General features: G+C 36.1%; 1 protein-coding gene across 14 annotated transcripts in view; it reads right to left on the bottom strand.

The window, feature by feature from the left end:
- ATG10 (autophagy related 10) overlaps positions 1–24,612 on the bottom strand; it is a 284,111-nt gene that overhangs the window by 89,375 nt on the left and 170,124 nt on the right. For all 14 annotated transcript variants that reach the window (XM_047417800.1, XM_047417803.1, NM_001131028.2 and 11 more), the window contains one exon: positions 2,222–2,360. In XM_047417800.1, coding sequence (XP_047273756.1) covers positions 2,222–2,360 — 139 coding nt within the window. The remainder of the gene's footprint in view (positions 1–2,221; positions 2,361–24,612) is intronic.

Raw genomic sequence — 24,612 nt, 5'->3', positions numbered from 1 at the left:
CAAAGAAAAATCCGGGCCTGGAATAAGAGGAAGACATTAGGAATCCTTTCACCACACTGACAGAGATTTGTTTAACAAACAGATGAAGGGCCAGAGTAATCAGATATCACAGGAAAAAGTAAGGAGAATAAAAAAGACTGGGGGGGGAATAAATGAAAAATTGTGACTCCAGAGTAAAGGTTGATACATTTTAAAAATATCCATGAGGTTAAGTTAGGTGGAAAGAAAAAATAAATTATTAGAATATGATAAAGGAAAGAAAGAACCATTCTTCATGTTTCTCCACCAGAAAACATTCAGTATGCTGCACAAAAATTAAATTTGATATTTTAATGTACCTGAACAAGCACTAAATGAATTCTGGGCCAAAATAAAATTTTAAATTCCTAATACCCACTCTACACAACACAAAGCAGTGGTGGTGGGGGGCGAATGCTTCTACATAAAAACAAATGACTTGTTTTGGTTTACCTTTATAAGGCATAAATGGAGGGCATTGTAAAAGTATACAAATAGAAGCCAAGAATGTTAATTGTGTTTTTTTAAAAGAATAGAAAATCGTGAAGAAAGGATCACAGAAACTACACCAATGTCATTAAAATATAATTGGACTTGCAGGAACAATTACTGTGCTGTACTGTAAGGGGAGCTGTTGGCACATAAGAGCAAAGCACACATATGAGCTCATCAGCAGGCCTTGGCAAGACCCACTTCCAGCTAGAAGCAGTCATGTTTCAACACCTCTGATTCCCTAATGCTGACAAGCTAAACAACTTGTTTTGTCTCTGGGAGCTCTTCTCTGGTGATTAACTGCTTATGGTGAATACTAATTATATGAAAGTACAGTATTGAAGAAGTAATGTCTTATTTCCTCTACCTGCAGCCTCGACTTGTCTCTGAATCTAGAAGGCAGAGCCATTGCAAACCAGAACCAAGAAAGACATTTTCCTCCCCCTGAATAAACAAATATATCTCCTACTTTTTAGTATAGCACAGCTCACTGACAAGAAACTTCCTTTAACCTCTGGGCTCCAAACCAAATATAATTACCATAAAATGAGTGTTTTAAAGGCTTGTAATAATTATATGGATAAATCCACAGCAAGAGTTTGTGAATTAGTGAACTATCAGTGTCCTCCATTCCCCATGTCCCATGTTGAAAATTTACCCCAAATTGTCAGTTCTTAGGAACTGCACCTCAGATTAAAATCTTCTCACCAGGGAGTCTATGAGAATTTCTTCTTGTGTTTTAAATCCTAAGTGCTTGTTAAACTGCCAACACTGCAAAATTAGAGACCATTAAACAATATAACAGCAAGTGATTAAATCTACCAAACATACATTCAAGCAGCTTAAGCTACTTTTGAATTAAAAATAAAATATCATTGGCTAAATTCAGATGTCTTAGCTATCCAGAAAAAAGTCAGAAGGCTGTTCAAAATGCACAATGCTGCTGATAAGGCCAGATACAAAAGGAGAAATAGGGCAAGGGGTTGGCTGAACAGGAGGCTCATCTTGGTCCCTGGGCCTGGGTGGCAGCACATCCCAATGCTGACCCGGTTTAGGCAGTGGACTCTAAGCGGGAAGCCATGGCTGTGCTGCAGAGTGAGGACGCCATGTGGCTGCTGATTAAATAAGCTTTATTAGCTAAGGCCTCCAAGGAGACAGGGTATTCCACCTTCTTGGCAGGGGAATGAGTTGAGTAACAGCATCACAGGAAGCTAAGGCATTGGAGATGTATAGATGGCTGAAGGAAATGTTAGTGCTATTTTTAAATACAGCTTAAGCTAATTGATAAACATTTCTTAAAATAATTATTAGCTTTTGGGGAAGGAGGCACAGGAGCTTCTGAGTTAATTGGATCATCTGAGATTAAAATAAATTTTTACTGTAAAGTTAGAAGTAAATAAACATTGTAGCTTTAAGTTGTTCCTACTTGTTTAAAGTAAAGAAAAGAAAAAGGGCCAGGGGGCTTAGTCAACTTCAGGCAAAAGGCCAAGAATCTGAAGATCAGACTTAAGGCTGAGATGATATCATTCACGCTGAAGTCTTGATACCCTTTCTGAAGCATGAGAAAATTTAGTGGTAAAACCTTACCTCACCCACAGTTTTCTCATTTTTAACTCTATTTTTTTTCCTCTGGAGAATAATTTTCCAAATATGCTTTTTGCTTTATATGTAAATGTTATAAATTTACTTTTAGCTTCAGACATGTTCTTACCTAAAAAGCTTGCCCTAAAGTAAAGTACAGGCACTTGGTAGCTACAGGAATATAAGACATGATACTCATATTTAATCACTTCGGACGCTGCTGCAGTTTCAATCACTTCACAATCATCCAAGGGTAGCTCGAAAGCCTCCTAAAAAAAAGCAAAAACAAAACGAAAACGGGTTTCTTAATAAGAAAAGTACTAACATGGAGAGGAAAAGAGGAGATTTTCTTCTCACAAAATAACAGTTAAATAAATATAAGGCTATGAGGCAAGGAAAAGGGAGTTTCCCATATTAATGTTTAACATTTGAGTCCTGGGTAAATAGTAAAACCAGAAAACATTAGCATTAAGTAATTCCAGATTGTTTTTGAGACACAAAGAGGCTCTGGATAAAGAAAAAGGAAAAAAAAATCTGAAAAGATCTATTGCCTGAAAAATCTTTACTGTACAATTTTAGCAACAAGATGATGGCTATATAAGCTACCTTCTTCCCTACCTGTGAAAGCTAAAAACATCCTAACAATTGAACAAGAGGCTGTGAAATGTCCCTAAAGATTCTATTGTACTTGCCAAAAGATGATTCATTGTGTGCTGAACAATTCCCAGTTCCATTTTGAATAAGAAAGTTATTTTGCAAGAGGTTGAATTTGTTAGGTATATTTCAAAACCTGAGATGATTCTGTTTTCTTCATTATTGTGCTATCTTTGGTATATTTCTACAATAAATCTTGATTTATAATAGAGTAGATGGCAAATATTAATGTCAACTTGAACAGAGTTTTGTAAGCAGAGATGATGATAGTCATCTCACTTCTCACCTGATCATTTTTTACTGGTTGATTTTTGTGTGTGGGGCTTTTAAAAGAATGTACCTTACTGTTTAGAAGCAATTAATTGGACATGTTGAGTCAGACCCTGGTTCCATCCACTTTCACTTATTTATTGGGGTTGAAGAATTTCCTTTGAAATTAAATTAGTACTAGAAGGAATGAAGCAGGTTGGTTTAGCTCATTTCTACCTCTCATTAAAACAGTAACAACAATGAACAATCAGAAATAACTAAGGAAAGATTTCATACTTTATCAATATGAAATAAGGTTTCCTGTGGAGATAAGCAAAGCCCCAGACTACTTTCAAGATCTGTATCTCCTTTACAGATAATTCTGTAATTCCCTACTCACAGTCAGTTCACTGGGGAGATATTACAATGGATAAATCACAACTGGAGATGTTTACAAAATATTTTTCACTAAACTCCAGTAAACACCATCAATTAAACATAATAAAATAAACAGAAAGAAATCATGGAAATAAATATGCCAGATACAGAAAATTAATACAGTAGCAAGAAAAAGATTTTTCTATTTTGTTTTCTTTTTAAATTTTCACTAGGCATAGGTATCTGTACCTTCTATTACATCAATTCTTTTAACCAAATTCTTTCTTTTTGGTCAATAATTGGGTTGCTTAGCATTTATAATTTCCTTTCTTTCTTAATATTATAAAATAATTCTATCTTGGTGGTAAAAATTACAAATATTGCACAAGTACATAAAAGAAAAAATGAAATTCCCCTCATCTCAGCACTCCTATACCTCAGGTTTGTAACCATCGTTAACAGGCCAGAGTGTATTTTTTTTAGACTTTTTGATTTTTGGCACACAAATACATATACACACATAGACACACACACACCTCCTCCCCACCCCCGCCCCTGCTTAAATCCTGCTATACATACATATGCTCCTAGAGTGGATATTTTCACTCGTGGGCATCCTGCCACGTGCTGCCAAGTCACTGCTATAGATTTAGTGCCTTTTAATGCCTTCTCTATATTTCACTGCATGACCACACCATAGTTGCTGTTGTGTTTTTTTTTAACATTTCCATATTGCCAGATATTTTAGGTTGATTATAGTTTTCTGCTACTTACAAATAAGGCTGCAATGAATATCACAGCACATATACCCTTGCATACCTCTATTTTTTCTATGGTGCAGATTCCTAAGGGTGGAATCACTGTATCAAAGGATATGAGCATTTTAAATTTCAAGAGATGCTGAATCTCAAAAATTCCATCCTCAGAAAAAGGCTGTATCAATTTATATTCCCAGCAAAAATGTCTGAGAATGCTCTTTTCCTATATCCAATAAATACTGAATATTGTTTTTAATTTTTGCCTGTTGATGAATTTTTAAGTATCAATTTCTTATCGTTTTAATTCCTAGTTTCTTGGTTACTTACTAGTGAAGGTGAGCAGCTTTACCAATATGTTTATTGGTAATTTGTATTCTCCCATGATTTGCTTGTTTTTATTCTTTACCTATTTTCTGAATATTTGCATTTTTCTTATTGAATTATATAAACTCTTTGTACATCGGAAATAATAACTATTAGAGATAAATATATATGTCTGCACCATAGAAAAATAGGTGTGCAAGGATATGTGTGAAATATATACATATATACACACATATATAAAAAACACTTTCTGTTTTCTTTCAACCATTTGTTGTACTTTTTTATCACAAAGGATTTTCTTTTTTTACTTTTATGTAGTCAAATCTGTACATTTTCTGTTTATAGCTTCTAAGTTACATGTCTTCATCAGAAGGCTTCCTGCTGTACCCCACCTCAGTCTTACAAATTATAAAGATGTTAAATTTCTTTACTATATACACGTTTTAAAATTAAAATTTAGATCATTAATCCAACTGATTTTTGTTTTGTATATAGTGTGAGGTAAGAAATTTTCCTAGATGATTTCAATAGTTCATCTTTCTTCCATTGACTTTAAATGTCACCATACCTCTGTGTGTGTGTGTGTGTGTGTGTGTGTGTGTGTGTGTTTATTCTCTAATCTTCTCTATTGAGCTATTTCTCTTCTTAGGCCATCACTGTGCAATTCTTAAGTGCATACTTAATCGAAGGATTTGGGTCATTAATTTCTATAGAAAAGTGCAGAAATAGACTGCCTGAGACCCAGTGCTGCTAGTTAAGATACAAGTTTTAGAAAAAATATCCTTCACCCAAACTCGAATTAAGCACTCAGGAATGTGCTGGGGTTGACACCAGGTATGTGAAACTGGTGATCAATTAGGCATAGATCCATATTCTCTGGAACAGGTAGGAGGCTCAAGAAATAAGAGGGAGGGGACAGAACAAGCTTCTTGAAAATCCTGTTAGAAGTCTCACTCCAGTCACTGTTCTCACTGGCAGCTGAGTGCCTTTGTGGGTTGTGAAAGCCAGGGGTATTTGTCCTCTAATTAGGACTGCTACTATGTCACCCAGTGTTGCTCTGGGCAGTCATCTACATGCAGTGACATTTCTGCATGCTTTACTCATATTAGATGAATTTGAATCCTTGGTTTGTGTCTGCTAGCATCTTTCCATCATTTGTGGTCACCTTTATGATGCCCATTAAAATATCATTCCTTGAAGTCATGCAATTTGGAAATCTCAGACTTCTACACATATTCTGCTTCTCTTTCCAGTTAAAAGTGCCAGATGGTTTTAGAACTTCAAGACTAAGGTTCTTGTCTTACTCATTTTTGTATTCCTGGAGATTCTAGTACAGAGCTGAGAACCCTAGTAAGCAATATTTTCTATTTCAGTCTGAAGATCTGTTTCCTCCTATGTAAGTATGTTATAACAAACTTCATAGGTAATTTACCAGCAATCTCACACCATCCTAACAACTAAAAAGAAGTAAATGGAGGAGTAAAGATGCAAAATATCACCAAAGAGGATATACCAATGGCAAATAAGCACATAAAGAAGATATTCAATATCCTTAGCCATCAGGGAAATATAAATTAAAACTATACTGAGATATCACTAAACATCTGTCAGAATGGCTAAAATAAACAAAATAGTGGACACCACCAAATGTTGGTGAAGATACAGAGAAACTAGATCATACATTGCTGGTTGGAATATAAAACAGTGTATAGCCTCTCTGGAAAACCATATGACAGTTTCTCATAGAAGTAAACATATAATTACCACACAACCGACCAACTGCACTCGAGGATTTATCCCAGAGCATTGAAAAACCTGTGCATGAATGTTCATAGCAGCTTTATTCAGAATAGCCAAAAAATTGAAACAATGAGGTGTCCTTCAACAGGTCATGGTTAAACAGACTGTGGTACATCCATACCATACTATTTAGGAATAAAAAGGAACAAACAATTGAGATACACAACAACCTGGATGAATCTCCAGGGAATTATGCTAAGTGATAAAAGTCAATCTCCAAAAGTTATATACCGTATGATTCCACTTATATAACATTTTTGAAGTGACAACACTTTTGAAGTCAAAAACCGCAGATTAGTGTTGGGGGACTGGAGGGCAGAGAGCTAGTTATAAAACGGCAACATGAGATATCTTTGTGGTGATGGAACTATTCTGTATCTTGACCATGGTGGTGGATATGTAAGCCTACACATGTGATAAAACTGTACAGAACCAAATACACACACACAGACACACACAATGAGTACAAGTAAAACTGGGGAAATCTGAATAAGGTCAGTGGATTATATCAATGTCAACATCCTGGTTCTGATATTATACTATAGTTTTAGAAGAAGTTACTACTGGGGGATATTGGGTAAAGGGTAGATGGGATTGTTATTTCTTATTACTAAATGTGAACCTATGGTTATCTCAAAAAATTTCAATAAAAAAATGGAAAGCACAGAAACAGTGAGGCAATTTGAGGCTTGTTAAAAACTAAATAAAATTTTTAAGACCTCATGGTGCTAATAATACAGATGACAGAGGGATCATGTTAATAAAGAGAGTCTAATGTCTGGGATTTGTTTGAAAATAATACAGGAGAGGGGTAAGTGGATGGAAGTATAGAAGGAGCATGACTGGCATGGAGTGGTGATGGCTGAGATTGTTAGATGGGTCCCTGGGTGTTCATTATACTGTTCTATCTACTTTAAGGAGTATTTTAAAGTATTTAAAATAAAAAATTAAGATAAAAAAGTTTCTGATACCATGTTACAGAACACAGAATGAAGAGAATTCTAATAGTGAAAGAAACCTGAATCACTCCACCTAGTCCAACATGCTCATCTTGCAGATACAAACAACAATACACTTCCTGTTGGTGCCTTACCCAATGCCACCTAGCTCCCACTTATCCAGAGTTTCACTTTCTACAGTTTCCAATTACCCATGATCAACCATGGTCTGAAAATATTAAGTGAAAAATCCAGAAATAAAAAACTAATAAATTTTAAATTGTGCGCCATTCAGAGTAGTGTGATGAAATCTCCTGCCATCCCACCTTCCTGGGATGTGAATCATCCTTTGTCCAGAGTATCCATGCTGTAGACACTACCAGCTCATTAGTCACTTAGTAGCAATCTGGGTCTTCAGATCTACTGTTGTGGTATCACAGTGCTTATGTTCAAGTAACCCCTATTTTATGTAATAACAGCCCCAAGGCACAAGGGTAGTGATACTGGAAATTTGGATATGCCAAAAAGAAACTGTTAATCTCTTACTGTGCTCATTATAAATTAGACTTTGTCACAGCTATGTATAGGAAAAAACATAGTATATATAGGGCTCAGTATTATCTATGGTTTCAGGCATCCACTGAAATATCTCCCACACCAATAAAGCGGGACTATATAGTTAGGGGTACAGGAAGGCCTACAACCCTTATCTACTGACACTGAAACCACTGCTCTTTGTACTGTAGTATACCACTTAACTGTTACTATGCTTTATTTGGACTGATGTTCTGAACATCATAATCGTAACACTTTGAGTTAGTTAATATTTTTATTATTTTTCTTTTATTATGTGACTTTTAAAGGATTTGGGTATACAGTGAGCCCTAGGTATACACGGGGGATTGGCTCCAGAACCCCCCCACCCTGAGGATACCAAAATTCACAGACGTTCAAGTTTCTTATATAAAATGGTAGAGTATTTGCATATAATCTACACATATCCTCCCATACTTTAAATCATCTCTATATTACTTATCATACTTAATACAATGTAAATGCTATGTAAACAGCTATACTATATTGCTCAGTGAATAATGGCAGGAAAAAAGGTCTATACATGCTCAGTTCAGATGCAACCACTATAGTCCTAACTACAGTTTTGATCCTGGTTGTCTAAATCCATGGATACGGAACCCACAGAGATGGGGGGCGGGGGGGCAGCTGTATTTCATTTGATATTAAGAGTAATTGAAAAAAGAAGTCACAATATATTGATTTTTCTCAAAATGTTGCTATTTCATGAAGATATGTGTATTTAGAAAATTACATTCATTCAAGAGCTAAAAGATTAAATGGTTCACATTAATTATAGAAACCTTGATTTTATTGAATTCAATTAACAATAAGTTGACAGTGATCTCTCATTTAAAAAATCTGATACGAATTAAGCTTTACAACTAAATCCCATTAAATAGGGATCATGCTGAAGACACTTCACAGCTATTTTATTGAAAGCAAACCCAAATAGTGTATTGGGCCTTGGAAATGAGATCCATATCTCTATTTAGCCTACAGAGAAGGAAGAAAAACTTTTCTTCTATCACTAATAATCTGTATTACTATTACTGAGCAAACGTAAGTAATGAGCTTTATTCATAACATCCCTTGAGGAAAAGATAGTTGATTTGTTTGTTTTCTACCAGTCAGGTCTTTAGTTCAAACCTAACATCACTGGTTCAAAGACAGTCCACAGTCCTTAGCTGTACTGAAGACTGGACACAGAAACCATCTCATCACAATGGAAAGATGCGATGTAATATACTCTTCATTTGCTGATTTTCCTGAGCCAACAGCCATTTAATATTTTCAGAAGTGATAACGACTGATGAAGCCTTCTGATAAACCACTGAAAAATCAATTCCTCAAGAAATAAAGAATTTTAATATTAAAAAGTTTAAAGTGAATTATAAAAATAATCTGTGGGACCTTAAGTAATCAGCTCTTGTTTTGTTTGTTTCAAGGCTCATTATCATACAGTGGAGTGGTCTTTTCACTATCTTAATTCCCAGAATGACTTTTTCCACAATCCCTGTGGCTTCTGAGTAAGTGACTGTCACAAGAACCTTTGCAAGCAACGTAATTCTTTTAGCAACTGTAAATGTTGTATATGGTACATATCAGCGGGTTCAACATATGTCTAACAGCATCCAAGGCAACACTGAAACAAAAAAGGGTGGTTATAAGATGATCCCAAGGATAATATCTTAGTGAGGCTCTCCCCTTCCCAGTAATATTATCACTACTACTACTGATTTTTTTTTAAAAGGGGGTAAAAAGGTGCCATTCTTTACTCTCCCTGCTACATCAACCAAAGTGAATTAGCAACAGCATGGCCAACGTGGGTTCCCACTGAGAGGAAGAATCTGTTTCCTGTGCAGGATTAAAACCTCTTCTCCAGGCAGGCATGCTCAAGGGCGAGGCAGGAGGGAGGGGATGCAGAAACCCGCCACAGCACATCTGGCAGTTTTCTGGATGTTTACAGCTGGCTCCACTGTGCTTCCTAGACCCTGTTTCTTTTAAGACTGCATAGGAAACAGCAAGACAGCTAGTGCCTGGAGCTGGGAAGCCAGCAAACACGCCAAGTAAAAGGTGGAACTGTGGAAGAGGCTATCTCTTAGAGTCCATGCTACAAAACACAGGTTCTTTGGCAGGAGGAAATAGTAATAATGCTTAATCGCACTTATCACTTATTTCTATACATCTAAAAGTAAAAGAATTAGCAGAATAATGGATTTGAAAATCAGAAATTCTTTATGTAAAACATGACAAACTAGAGGAAGAGGGGAAAATTTTGACCTCTTGAAAAATTATCAAGCTTCAGAAGTCGGTCAAGTGTGTTTCTCTTCAGTGTTACCCTTTACATGTGACATAAGAAAGGCCAGCATCAACTCTAACAGTTTACAGTTTTTCTAAGCCTATTGATGTACATCATGTAATTTGTTCCTCTGCTCTAGGAGGAAGGCCCAAGGTCTCCAGCAAGTAAGAAACTGAGCCAGGGCACAAAACTAAGCCTTCAGGCTCCAAGTCCAGGGTTCTTTCTAGCCTGCAAAGACCATCAGATTCTTGGTGGTGAGAAATGTTAAACAGACGTATTCCTGGCCTCCACCCCCAAAATTCTAATCCAGGAGTTCTGGGATGGGTTTTAAGACTTCACCTTATAAGCAGTGTTCCTGGTGATGCTATGCAGGTCTTGCCTCACATACACATGGAGGGTCTACTTTGTGATTCTTTACTTTTGTAGTCTATGGAATTATAAAGTCAGGAAACTCATTCACCAAGACCCAGAATTATGCCATAAACCGGTTTGCCTTCACTAGCTGCTCATCTATGTTTTGAGAACCACCGTTACTTCATTTGGTCTCCTCTCGGAGGGAGCCTAAATGCACTTCCATTAACCTAAGACCTCAGCTTATCACCCCCCACTCCCAGTTTATTGCCCCATTCCTTCATCTTCTCCTATATAAAAATTTCCTTCATTTTGTCCTTTTCCTTCTAATTGGTTAGTTAATTCTTGCTAAACTATTAATGGCCATTAGTGGCTTAATATGTTACTCCTTTATCAATTATTATATTCAACAGTAGATTTGTGGCTGATAACCCTAATCAAAAGGAATCTTTAATAATGGAATTTGGAGTGCCAAAAAGGAATAAATTTTGCACCACACATGTAACCACCAATCTGTGAAACTTGCCTTATAAGGCAGTCTATGTTTTAACTCCAGAGCCAGAAAATTCTTCCTTGTTACCTTGCTAGAAAGTAAATCAGTTTCCACTAGATTTATCCTTGCAGAAGATTAAGAACAAAGAGTCATTATTTTTATATAATATGAATAAATTTATTTGTTCCCCATATTGAATAAGCCCAGTTTCTCTAATTTTTCTTATATCTCTAGTTCCACAGATCTCCAAACATTTTTCTAAAGGGCCAAGTAGTAAATATTTTAGGCTTCTGTGTGGGCCATAGGTCTCTGCAGCTGCAGCCTGAAAGCAGCCACTGGCAACATGTAAACAAAGGTACGTGGCTGTACTCCAGTGACATTTTATTTACAAAAACAAGCTGTAGTCCATAGACCTTAGTTTGCCTACCCCTGAAAATCCTAATTTTAAGGCCTTCTTTAATTTCATTTTATTATATTTTTACAAGCACTAAACAGAATTTTATTAAAGGACTTGTATCTCCATTTGGTGAACTCTTTCCCCTTTCCATTTTTTTCCTGTCTTAGGATGTTACATTACATTTCCAAGGGTCTAAGAAATTCTGAGCCTTAAAAGGACAATGATAATTAAATCCAATGGGCTGAAGTTTGGCTAAAGTCATTTTCTAAAGTAAGAGATAGCACTACCCTAATTTAAACAAGTGAGATTTTTAAATGTCTTGATGAATAAACTGCAAGTTCCTTCAGCACATGAATAAACTTCTACACTCAAATTCAGAACTGAGTAAATTTCTCTGCCAAAGAGTGAAAATGATAAAGCCTTCATAAACAGACCAAGAGGCAAGCATTGTAGGAATGTTAGAGGACTGTGAATCCTAAAGCACAGGCCCTCTCACACATGCACAAGAAACAGCATGTCTAGGAATCAGCAAGGAACTGTTTCAGTAAGCCATGAGTTCCTTCCCTTGCTCAAAACTGTCTCTGGATTATATGGATATGAATAAGGATTTATTTGTTTCTTTGCTTGGTTTTTACCAGGAGAATCCCTTTAAGATTTCCACAAGTATCTATGACGTGCCAGGCACTATGCTTGTGCTGGGACAAAGATGTGGTTGTTGCTTTTAAATAATACTATAATATTTCAGCAGTAATGAGAGCAACATTAAGCTCTCAGCTTTCTATTGGGATTCAAGGAGACACTCAAAATCTCGGATAAAAACACATAGACTTCAGAGAAGCATAATATAGGCAAAAATAAAAAAGCACAGAATTTGGAGCTAGATGTGGGTTCAATCCCTGGCTCTGCCACTCATGGAATGGACAGGTCATTTGACCCCTCTATGCCTCAGTTTCTTCACTTGTTAAATAAAGGCATCTTTCCCTTGTGATTAAATGAGATAATGTATAAAATGTGTATATCTGGCACATAGGTATACTAATTAATCATACATTCATTCAAAAAATGTTATAGGATACACTAAATATTCTAGATCAAAGGTGTCCAAACATTTTCTTAAAGAGCCAGATAGTAAATATTTCAGGCTTTGGGCATCATAAGTCTCTGTCAAAACCACTCAACTTTGCCACTGCAGCATGAAAACAGCCTAGATAATATGTAAATTAATGAGTGTGGGTTTGTTCCAATAGTGCATCATTAATGAACACTAAAATTTAAATTTCATATTATTTTAATGTCATAGAATATTATTCTTTTTAAATTCTTTTTTTAACCATATAAAAATATAAAAACCATTCTTAGCTTGTGAGCTGTACAGAAATACACAGCAGGCTAGGTGCTGTGGCTCATGTCTGCAATCCCAGCGCTTTGGGAGGCTGAGGCAGGAGGATTGCTTGAGCCCAGGAGTTCAAGGTTGCACACTGCACTCCAGCCTGGGTAACAGAGTGACACCCTGTCTCTAAAGAGAAAAAAAAAAAAAAAATAGGCAGCAGGCCACAGTTGCCATCGTCTGCTCTAGACACTGTCCTGGGGCCTGGGAATAGAAGAGATAACAATAATAGATATTATGTCCTAATATAAGGAAATACATTAAAAAATAATCACACAAAGAGCTATAAAATTATAATTACAACAAATACTATTAGAGAAAATGCACAGAGTCCCCAAGTACATAAAATTTTACCTCCAAATCTATGAATTTTGTTTGTGAGATTTTAATTTTTCTTTTTCAGCTTCATTCAAGTGTAAACCAGTTTTATGTAGCACTGATCATTTTAGTATCCTAATCACCCTTAACCAAGGCTTATTTTAGTTCAATGATCACAACACCCACCCAGATAGATTTTCAGGAACTGTTTTTGTCCAAGTTTACCAGATTGCCTAATCACTTAGAATCTGTCACCCCTGTCACCTCTGATTATCCAAGCTTCTTCCCGATAAACTCTTGCTGCAGCCCACTAAAAAGTGTCTGCCTACACTTTCTGTTGCCCCCAGCAATAGTTTCTGCTTGAGAATGCCCCACAAGTTTTTTTCTCAGCTTTACAAATAACTCACTTATACATGTGTGCCCACTTGTATATGCATGGACAGCACACATATACATTCAACTAACTAACGTTCACTGAGCATCTACTATGAGCTAGGCATGGTGCCAGCACTGGAGATTTGTTGGCAAACAGATATGGTGTTTGCTCTCAAGGAACTTATAACTACAGAGAGCGTGGGAGAAAAAAACATTGCATAAACAATTATTTGAGTATAATGTTGCAAGTGCTATAAGAATATAAGAATACATCTTGAGGCCTTATCCAGTTGGCAGACTTGGAAAGGCTTCTATTACAGCACACATATCCCTTTGAATGTGAGTGAAGGCAGGGCTTTTGCCTGTCTTATTCACTTACGTATTCCAAGCATCCTGAACTGTACCTGGCAAATAGTAGACATTCAATCAATATTTGTTAAGTGAAATAAATAAGTGGAATGAGTATAAATTGTCTGTTGCCATTTTCATCCTATAAATCAGAGATCTCTAAACTTTTTTTATCATGACACTAGGAGTCAAAAAAGTTAAGCACTCAACCCTAATATGTGTATATTTACCTCTTGATCAATTATGAATATGTATTTCTATATGATATATTTTGTATATTATAAAATACACTAAAATATAAAAATTTTAAGGATAAGACAAAGGTGAAGGAAAAATATTTCAAGGTCATTCTTTTAGTTGGGTGATGATCTGGGTACTAATGAAAGTAGCCCTCCTACCCAGCTCTTTGCTCAGGCACCAAAAGGCCTTGGCTGGCCCTCTACCCTCACCCTTCATTGAGCTTCTTGCCTATTTGGCTCTTAGATTTCTGCGCCAGTGGTTGTGATTGAATAAAGTTGCAGAAATGTTGATTTTAAGGTGCCCATTGAAAAGTTAGCACCTCAAAATGTGACAGATGTAAATAGCAGGCAAATGAGCACACTGTTACCTGGTTTTCCCAGGACTCCACGCTTCAGAGTCAGTGCTGCTGAGCAGCCAGCCAGTCCTGCTCACAGTCGTGGATGATCAGACACCCAAAAATCAAATGTCTAGATCCCATATGCTCAGTAGTCCTGGGGCGGCAGCCTTAATTCAAAGTAGACTCTAAAGAGCCAGAGGTAATTTCCTTTCTCTTCATAAAGAACCCTGTCCTAATCTGCACCAAGTCAAAGAGCCCTGGGTTCCAAATATGTAAATCTATTCAGAAAATAAAATGCTACAGAAAACTAAACTTATTTTATTTAGTAATGGTGCAGACATTTTCTTGCCAGTAGTATTTTGATGAGAGCAATTTGATTGAATATGTAATTTTTTGTTCTTCTTTGTGTGTTTTAAATCTTGACTGTAATATGGCATTTCAAACATCTGGGTTCAGGTCTTTTTACATTGTTTTGATAGGTGATTTTAATGGCTGCAACAGATGAGAAAGATCTACAGATCCATAAAGAGGAAGTATATCACTGGGTGTACTTAGTAAATCATGATCTCATATTTCAATCCCCTTCTCTAGCTGTAAGAGGTTTTATTCAAGTTCTGGATGCCTTTCAATGAGTCGTTAGTCAATGATTGCTTCATACTGTCATTAGGTACAACATACACACAGGTTAAGGGTCATCATTAATAATAGCAAATATAAATCCATATTTCAAATAATCTTAATTTTAAATTTGGAGAGCCAATTTTTGAAAGATCTGATTAGACTGTTGTTTTTACCTTTTACCATTTTTTTTTTTTTTTTGTTCCAGGGATTCTTTGCAGGAAACTTTTAAAGCCCTTAGTCTGAAAAGTAAGAGCTATGTTAACTAAAATTGAATAATATCATCCCAGATATCCAGGGCACAGGTAAACTGCAATGCATAACATGCAATGAAAGGAGTGAAAACATCACTGATAGCTCCTTCCTATCGTCTAGGTCCCAGATGCCTTGCATAATTAACCTCTATGGCATCTGGTTATCTGATAAATGCATAGAGTGGCAATGCCAGCATCAATCCACATTTAAATATTAGTAGTAGCTGGGCACAGTGACTCATGTCTGTAATACCAGCACTTTGGGAGTCTGAGGAGGGAAGATTGCTTAAAGCCAGGAGTTCAAGACCAGCCTAGGCAATATAGCAGGACCTCATCTCTCTTAAAATAAAAATTATATTAAAATTTTCAAAAAGTTAAATATTAGTAGAGCCTAACTTTCACAAAATCAAAGTAAATATAAATTATAGTTGTAATGTTATTTCTCACATCTCAATGGATTGTTTTGCAAGCCCTCTGGGGGCATGCATTCACTTTAAAGACTCTATGCTGGTGACCAAGACCATTATTAAACAAAATTATGAAGGCAAAATTGATCCTTGGCATCTTCCACATCTTGCTTTTCATGGCCTTGCTCTCCTCTTTCAGCACAAAGCTCTTAAATCCAGCCCTCTGATCTGAAATTCACAGGCCACCTGATGAACTTACCAATACTAAATGTTACAATCTGGATATATTAATCCTACTAAGATTCTTTGGCTTTTAGGAAGAGGTTCTCTGAACATGGAAATCTTAATGAGTCACTGATCATGCAGTTTCTGTTACAGAGCCTGCAGTCTGTGGGGCAGTGACAATGGCTTCTCTGGCACCCTTTGGAACACAGCCTGTGGGTAATTGCCTACTGTACTGAGGAAAGGCCAGCCCTGTGGACGACTGTGTGAAGGGGGATATGGATATCACCAGTGCCTCACGATCGCTTTCTCTGAGGTGACAGAAATTATTCCTGGAAGGAGCTATGTTTGACTTCCAAATGCTGGACCCTCATGTCTCCCTGTTCCCAAGCCTGGGCATTGGACTACTTTTTCTATTTGCAATGTTAATGATAAATCAACATTCAACAGAAGTTTCCAAAGAAGAAAATAAAAGAAGCTTAGGCTGGTAATACTGAATTAATGTATTTTCCTGGTTACTTATAATGGCAAAGAATTATTTGCATGGGAAGAAAAATGCTAATTTTATTAAAGTGCTATTAAATGAGACTTTTAGCCTAACTTGCAGCACCCTGAAAAATTATACGTAGTGACTTGATTTGTCAGTTCTAACCTCTTTGGAATCATTAGCCTGCATAGTTGACACACTTGGGAAAGAAAAAAAAAAAAACAACTCCAGAACTGACTTGTTTCCTAAATGAATTGAGAAGTTGTCATTAAGAAACATCTGCTACTTTATTGCATTCATGTAAAAGCATTCTTGTGCCTCTATAGCAGACTACTGAGCAGATGTTTTTAGAGCACTATACCCACAGCAATAGGTGTATCATAAAAAAGATAAGGAGCTACAACATAATTATTTCAGTTCCTCTATACATGAATTTAACTTTTTTTAATGGATTAAAAGTTGTGTCAAGAACCTCAACTTCTAACTCAAGCAATTCACTTGCAAGAAAGTGAACATAAAATCATTTACAGCAATAAATAACAAAAGGTCAGACTCAGCCTTATACCCAACATGACGAAATCTGACAGTACAAGAAAGGCCTTTCCAGAGCAAATCATTCTACCACCTTCCCATAGGACAGACAGAGAATTTGCCATTGGAGATCAATTTATTTGTGCCTTAAAGGTCTTCAAGCCAGGAGAATATGCATTTTCTCTGAGAATAGAAGGAAATACTTTAAATCATTATCAGCTAAAAATTTTTAAATCATAGCCAAGATTTTCAAACTGTCAGTGTAGGCTTACAGCATGACAGGCAGGCACAGGACTCTGGGCAGCAGAGTAGTATTTATAAACAAAACAGTGAAAAAAAACAAACAGTAGTAGTGTGGTTTTAATAAATTGGTAACATGTTCCTCTTACTATAATAAAATGCCCTAACTTTAACATAAATTCTAAAACTTGAAAAAAGTGGTTAATAACCATATGAAAGTCTGCAAAAAGACTGTTCTTTAATTCAAGATCCAAGTTCTGTTTGGGGTCCATGTGTTAGAATGGGCTACTCCGAGAAGCTGACTTTGATGTGAGTGTAAATAATCTATTTGGAAAGCGATTTCAGGAGCACAAGTAAGGGAATAGGGAAGTGAGACAGAAAGAAAATACTGGTATATTAGTAAACAGCTTACCACTGGGGTAGAACTAGATAAAAGTAAATACGGGGTATATTAGTAAACAGCTTACCACTGGGGGCAACCAGGGCTGCCCTGGTTGCCAATATGATAAGCAAGCTTATGAGATAAGGCATTATTATTTTACCCAAACTGAGTCCTAAAGATCTTGGCCACACAATTTGCCTAAGGTCACAATTAGTAAGAGGCAGAACTAGAGTTTAAAGTGTATATAACTTTAAAGCTCGTATATATTTTGGATTTGAGTCATTAGCATAAAAAGAATATCTGGAACAACTAAAGTAGATGAAAATTTCTAATAGGGAAAGAAGATAAGGCCAGAGAAAAATCTTGAGAAATGCCATATTTCAGAGATAGGTGGAAAAGAGGAGCCAGCAATGGGAAGAGCTTGATAGACACAGAAAAAATATAAAAAGATAAAAATGACATGGAAATCACAGAAGGAAAGCTTCCAGCAGACCATGGTCAATATCTTGCATTTTACAGAAAAATGAAGAAAGATAATCTGAAGAGGCAATTTGGATAGATGTTTCAGCTGTCACCAGCTGAAATAAATAAATTTCAAATGCATATTGGAAGAAAATGCAGAATTGTAAAGATTGGTATGAACTTGTGGTGAGGAAGTGTCAGTATTAAGAGTAGATAACCCTAATGAGAAGTTACACAGAAAAACAGAAAAACTACAGGTAGCTTGAGGGGATATAAATGTCAAAGTAAGAGTTTTTAGAAATATATATTCAATCTGGGTTTATCTGTATGTTGAATGGAATGAGTCAGTAGAGAAAAAGAAATGAGGATGCTAAGAGAGATTCAGATTTCATGATGCAATAGGAGATGAAGTAAGTGGTATAAGCATATAAAAAGAAGAGATAATGCTTCTCCTGAGACAGAAGTGCTCTACAGTGACGCAATTCCAGATGATGTTCTAGAACATGATGTTATTGTGCCTGTGGGCAGCTGGAAGAGAATCAGATCACTGGATCAGAGGTCAAAATATTAGGTGAGTTCTCTTGATACAGAGCAGAGTTCACCAAAATTTGTCTCTAAAGGGCCAAATAGTATTTTATTTAGTCTTTCTAGGTATAAGGTCTTTGTCACAACTACTACTCAACTCTGTCATTATAGCATGAAATCACTCACAGAAAAATAGGTGTGGTTTAGTTCCAACAAAACTTTATTAATAAAACAAGCAGGTGGCTGGATTTAACCCAAGGGCTGTAATCTGCTGACCCATGATGTAGAAGACTGAGTGCCTTACAGACCAATCCTGCTACAAATAACAGATATAAATTCTAGGAAGAAAACCTATTTGAGGCTTTGGAGATTTAACAAAAATAGATTTTGAAGAGGAGTCAACACCTGGAGCAAGTGATTTGGTTTTTGCAGTTTTTCCCTGGAGGCAGCTGCAATGGTGGTGGTGTTGGCACAAGGACTGGGGGAGGGCAGGCAGCAAAAACTCTTGCCATCTTTCTGACTGGAGGAAACTGGGGGAAAGAGCCTGGAAAAACCATAGGTGCTAGAGAATGATGCAGATGCCCAAGAAAGAAGACAGCCAGAAGAGGACAACCCCAGATTCTATGTTTAAACTCAGCCCAAGTCTCTGGCTGACTCCTGAACCATGTATGTGTGGGGCAATCTGAAAGCAGCTTAAAACTCAGGTTAAAAGAGCTGAATTGAGTTCTATGCCACTGCCTACTACAGGCAATGACAGTTTGCAATTTGAGTCTAACTAAGCTATTGATTGCAAAAATGAAAACATCAACATTATTTTTTTTTTAATTTAACTTTTATTTTAAGCTCAGGGCCAGGCACAGTGGCTCATGCCTGTAATCTCAGCACTTTGGGAGGCTGAGGCGGATGGATTACTTGATGTCAGGAGTTCAAGACCAGCCTGACCAACATGGTGAAACCTTATCTCTACTAAAAATACAAAAAATTAGCCAGGTGTAGTGGTGAACCCCTGTAGTCCCAGTTACTCGGAAGGCTGAGGCAGGAGAACTGCTTGAACCCAGAAGGCGGAGGTTGCAGTGAGCTGAGATCACGCAACTGCACTCCAGCCTGGGTGACAGAGCAAGACTTCACCTTAAAAAAGAAAAAAGAGAAAAAGTTTAGGAGTACACAGGTAAACTTGTGTCATGGGGCTTTGTTGTACAGATTATTCTGTCACCCAATTATTAAACCTAGTACCACCTAGTTATTTTTCCTGAACATCAATATTCTTCAGAAGAATGTAATGAAATCTACAGCCTTCAGAACATAACAGCCACAATATCCAAAATGTACTCAAGAATTACCCAACATAGAAAGAACAGAGAATTGAACGTGACTCAATCTGTTGAGGTTTATATGTAGATGTTGATATTTCCAACGTCTAGGTTATCTAGATGTTGAAAATGTCAAATAAAAACTTCAAAACAGCTATTATAAGTATGCTCACTGAGGAAAAAATATATTCATATTGATTTTAAAAAACAGGACATTTCAAGAGAGAAATAGGAAGTACAAAAAAATGGAAATTTTATACCTGAAAAATACAAATATCTGTGATAAAAATTCAACAGATCTGATTAATAACAAACTGGAGATGACTGAGGAAAGAATAAACTACAGGATAGATGAAATGAAGTCGTCCAATCTGAAGATAAGAAAAAAAAAAAACAAAAGAAAATGAACAAAGTATTTGGGACATGTGGGACAATTTCAGAACATCAGACATATAGACAACTGGAGTCCTAGAAGAACAGTTTAGAGAATAAGGCAGAAAAATAATATTTAAAGAAATAGTGAGAGAAAACTCCTCAAACTTGACAAAAAAATAAATTTACTGACTCAAGAAGTTTAGACAACCACTCTAAAAATATGAATAAATCAACACCTATACACATCATAATCAAACTAATGAAAACCACAACTAAAGAGAAAATATTGAAATTAGCCAGAGAAAAACAATATATTAAATATAGGGGAACATCAATTAGAATTTCCATGGATTTCTCACCAGAAAAACAATGAAGGCCAAAAAGCCATAGAAAAATATCTTTAAAAAATTCTATATCTGGTAAAAATATTCTTCAAGAATCTAAGTGAAATAAAGAAATTTTCTACAAAAGGAACACTAAGGCAATTCATTACCACCAGGCCTGTACTATAGAAACAAGGAAGTTCTCCAAGCTGAAGAGAAATAATAGCACAGGGAAATTCAGGTCTGAATTTAGGCATAAGTTAAGAAGACTGGAAACAGTAAATATTAAAGACTATAATGTTTGGCCAGGCGCGGTGGCTCACGCCTGTAATCCCAACACTTTGGGAGGCCAAGGTGGGAGGATCACCTGACGTCAGGAGTTTGAGACCAGCCTGGCCAACATGGTGAAACCCCATCTCTACCAAAAATACAAAAATTAGCCGGACATGGTGGTGCATGCCTGTAATCCCAGCTACTCAGGAGGCTGAGCCACAAGAACCACTTGAATCCAGGAGGCAGAGGTTGCAGTGAGCCGAGATCAGGCCACTGCACTCCAGCTTGGGCAACAGAGGAAGACTCTGTCTCAAAAAAAAAAAAAAGACTATAATGTTATCTTAAATTTTAAAAAATGCATGTGACAGTTTTAAGCAAAAGTTATAACACTGTTATAAAAATTATAACAATGTGCATGTACATCTGTACACACTGAGGTTCATAATGTGTATACATATAATACATATGACAACTATTATATAAAGGATGGTGAAGAATATGACTAATGAAGTAATATAACTGCAGAGTTTCTACATTTCATATAAAGTATATAAGATTAACTCTGAGTAAAAAATTAAGGATGTATATCTTAATTACCAAATTAATCATTCATAAAATAATGTAAAGAAGTGTATCTAAAAAGTCAAAAGGCAAATTAAAGTGAGATTCTAAAAAATAATCCAAAAGAAGACAGGAAAGAGGAAACAGGAATAACAGCAAATATAAAAAAAGCAAGGTAACAGAAAAAGTTAATAAAATGATAGACTTAAATCAATCATATTAATTATTACATAAATGCCAATGCACTAAACATTTTAATTAAAAGGCAGAGATTATCAGAATGAATTTTTAAAAAACAAAGCAGTTTTTGCCTACAAGAGAAAACTAAGTATGAAGAAGAAGGCAGATCATGTAAACAATAACCATAAGAATGTTGGAGTAGATATAATATCAGATAAAACAGACTAAGATTAAGAGTATTACTGAAGATAAACAGGGATACTTCATAATGATAAAAGAGGCAATTTTTTCAAATAGTCATCAGTCATAAATGTGTATGTGCCTGACAGAGACTAAAATTATATGAAGCAAAAATTGACAGAACTAAAAGAAGAAATAGACAAGTCCACAATCATAGTAAGAGATTTTAGTACCCTAATCTCAGCAATTTATAGAAAAGCTAAAAAAAATTTTAGTCAAAACAAAGAGGACTTATGACCTAATTAACATTTATAAAATAGTACCCTCCAAAACTGTAGAATATTAATTCTTTTCAAGTACACACAGTACATTAACCATGATAGACCATATGCTTGACAATAAAAGACATCTTAAATAAATTTAAAAGAACTGAAATCACACAAACTATCTCTGACCAAAATAAATTAAATTAGAAATAAGTGACCATAAGATATTTAGAAAAACCCTAAATATTTTAAAATAAAACAATATACTTCTAAATAACCCATGGGTCAAATTTAAAAATCATAAAGTGAATTATAAAATATTAAAAATTTTATAATAAAAATGCAATAAAATAAAATGAATGGAATGCAGCTAAATCAGTGCTTAGAGGAAAAATTATAGCTACAATCCTTTTATTGAATAACAAAAGAGGTCTTAAATCAGTTACTTAACTTTCAACCTTAAAAAGAGCAAAGTAAACCCAGGGCAAATAAAAGAAAGGAAATAACAAAGATAAGCACAAAATCAACAAAATAGAAAACAGACAAATCAGAGAAAAAAAATAAGAAAACCAAAACTGATTCTTTGAAAAGATTAATTGAACTGATGAACCTCTAGCAAAACTGATCAAGAAAAGTAGAGAGGACAAAAATCATCAAAACCAGAAATGAAAAAAGGATTATCATTAAAAATGCTATAAACACTAAAAGGATAATAAGAAAACATTATAAATAATGTACACCAAAAATTTAACAATTAAGATGAAATGGATAAATTCTATGAAAGAACAAATACCAAAGCTCATGAAAGGAATAATAGATACTCTAAATAGCTCTATATCTTTAAAGAAGTTGGCTGTAGTTTAAAACCTTCTCACAAAGGAAGCTTCAGGCCCAGATGGCTTCACTGGTAAAGCTCTACAAAATATTTAAGGAAAAAATACCAATTCTATACAAAATCTTTCCAAAATAGAAGAGGTATAAACACTTCTCTACTCATTTTATAGGACAAAATTACCTTGATAACAAGCCAGACAAAGAAAGTACAAGAAAAGAAAACTGTAAGTCAATATCCCGTCTCCCACCAAAATATGTTAAGAACCAATCCTGTGTTGGCAGAAAAAACTAGAGGGGAAGACAGTGATAACAAACTCTTTTCTACATTTTGAGCCTCTTGTCTCCAATCTGTCTTTGACTCCCAGCATATAAGAAATGTATTATAATGCCTCTCATCTTTACAGTCTGCACGAACACAAACATTATTCATCCAAGACCCTGTTTTCCCCCACTAGCTACTGTCATAAATCTATCCTTTTGTTCACAAACATTTAGAGTGACCTCCATTCAGTCTGGACTTCCTCACCCCTTGTTCACTGCACAGAGCAATCTGGCTGCCATCCTCAGCCCACAGACACTGTTCTCACTTTGGTAATCTCCCAGTTAGAACACCTTCCACACTCTCGTGTCTCCAACATCCTCCCATGACTCTAACGACCGTTCTGTGCTGGGCTTATTCACCCACACGGCTCTGGCAACTAGGTCTATACTGAGTTTCACTCATCCTCACATCTCTGACTTTCTGTAATGATGGTCTCACTTACTCACAAGGAAGGCCCTGATAAAAACTTTGGCATAGATGTTCTAACTTGTTCTAGTAGCTCTAATGACTGTATCTGTGAAGGTGGCCTCGCTTGTTCCCACAGCACTGGCTCCACCTCCGTGCTTTTGTTCTCACTCCTCATTCACTTCTATGACTCTAACAACCACTCCATTGCTGATAGTCTTATTCACCCCTTTGGCCTGACTATTACCTCTCTGCCAAAAGATCTGACAATTTAAATTTTAGCCCAGACCTCTTTCTTGAATAGAAGACAAAAACTAAAGTCATTATCTCATCAAGCAAAACAAAACTACTTGTCCTCCTCAATTCCCTATTTTAGCAACGGCATGTACATAATACCCAGATGTCCAAAAGTCATCCCAAATTTATTCATTTCCCCTTCTACTCCATATTTATCACCAAATTAAATGATTCTACCTCCTAAGTATTGCTGTGATCTCTTCCCAATTTCCATAATCTTTGCCACTCCCCTAGTTAAGCCCTTATTATCTCTTGGCTGGAATATTAAAATGGTGTCCTTACTGATGTCCTAATTCACATTTCAACCACCTCCCACGCACCCTCCACACTGCCGCCACAGTATCTTTCTAGCACATGACAATGCAGTTACACAGGTCAATATTCGATCTCACTTCCAAGATGGCATCTGAGGCTCTTTGCTTGTAGGAGCCATCCTGCCCATATGTGCACCCTTATCTTCCACCTGTCCCCTCTTAGCATCCTTTGTTGTCATTCTGCTCATACTTGTAGTTCTCCTGCTGTCTCATGACTGTTGTGCCTTTACATACGTGCCATCCCAGCCAAGAAGAGCTCCCATCAAATTCCCACCTAGAAAATGCCTACTCATCCTTCTTGTTCAACTCAAACCCTGCCTCCACTAGAAAACCTTTCAAATACTTTTTAGGAAACTTGGACACTGCTTCTCCCACACAAACATCGTACTAGTACATATCTTACTGAGAGGAATTATTTTATTGTATTTTCATTATTTATATATGAGTCTGTCCACTAGCCTGTTGGCTTGAGGAAACAAGCTGTCTGTAGTGTTTATAACACCACACCTGGCACCTGGCATATAGATGCTC

This window comes from Homo sapiens, chromosome 5 (genome assembly GCF_000001405.40).
Source record: "Homo sapiens chromosome 5, GRCh38.p14 Primary Assembly".
NCBI lineage: Eukaryota > Metazoa > Chordata > Mammalia > Primates > Hominidae > Homo > Homo sapiens.
Note: the sequence above shows the minus strand (reverse complement) of the source record. Positions and strands in the feature narration are given on the sequence as shown.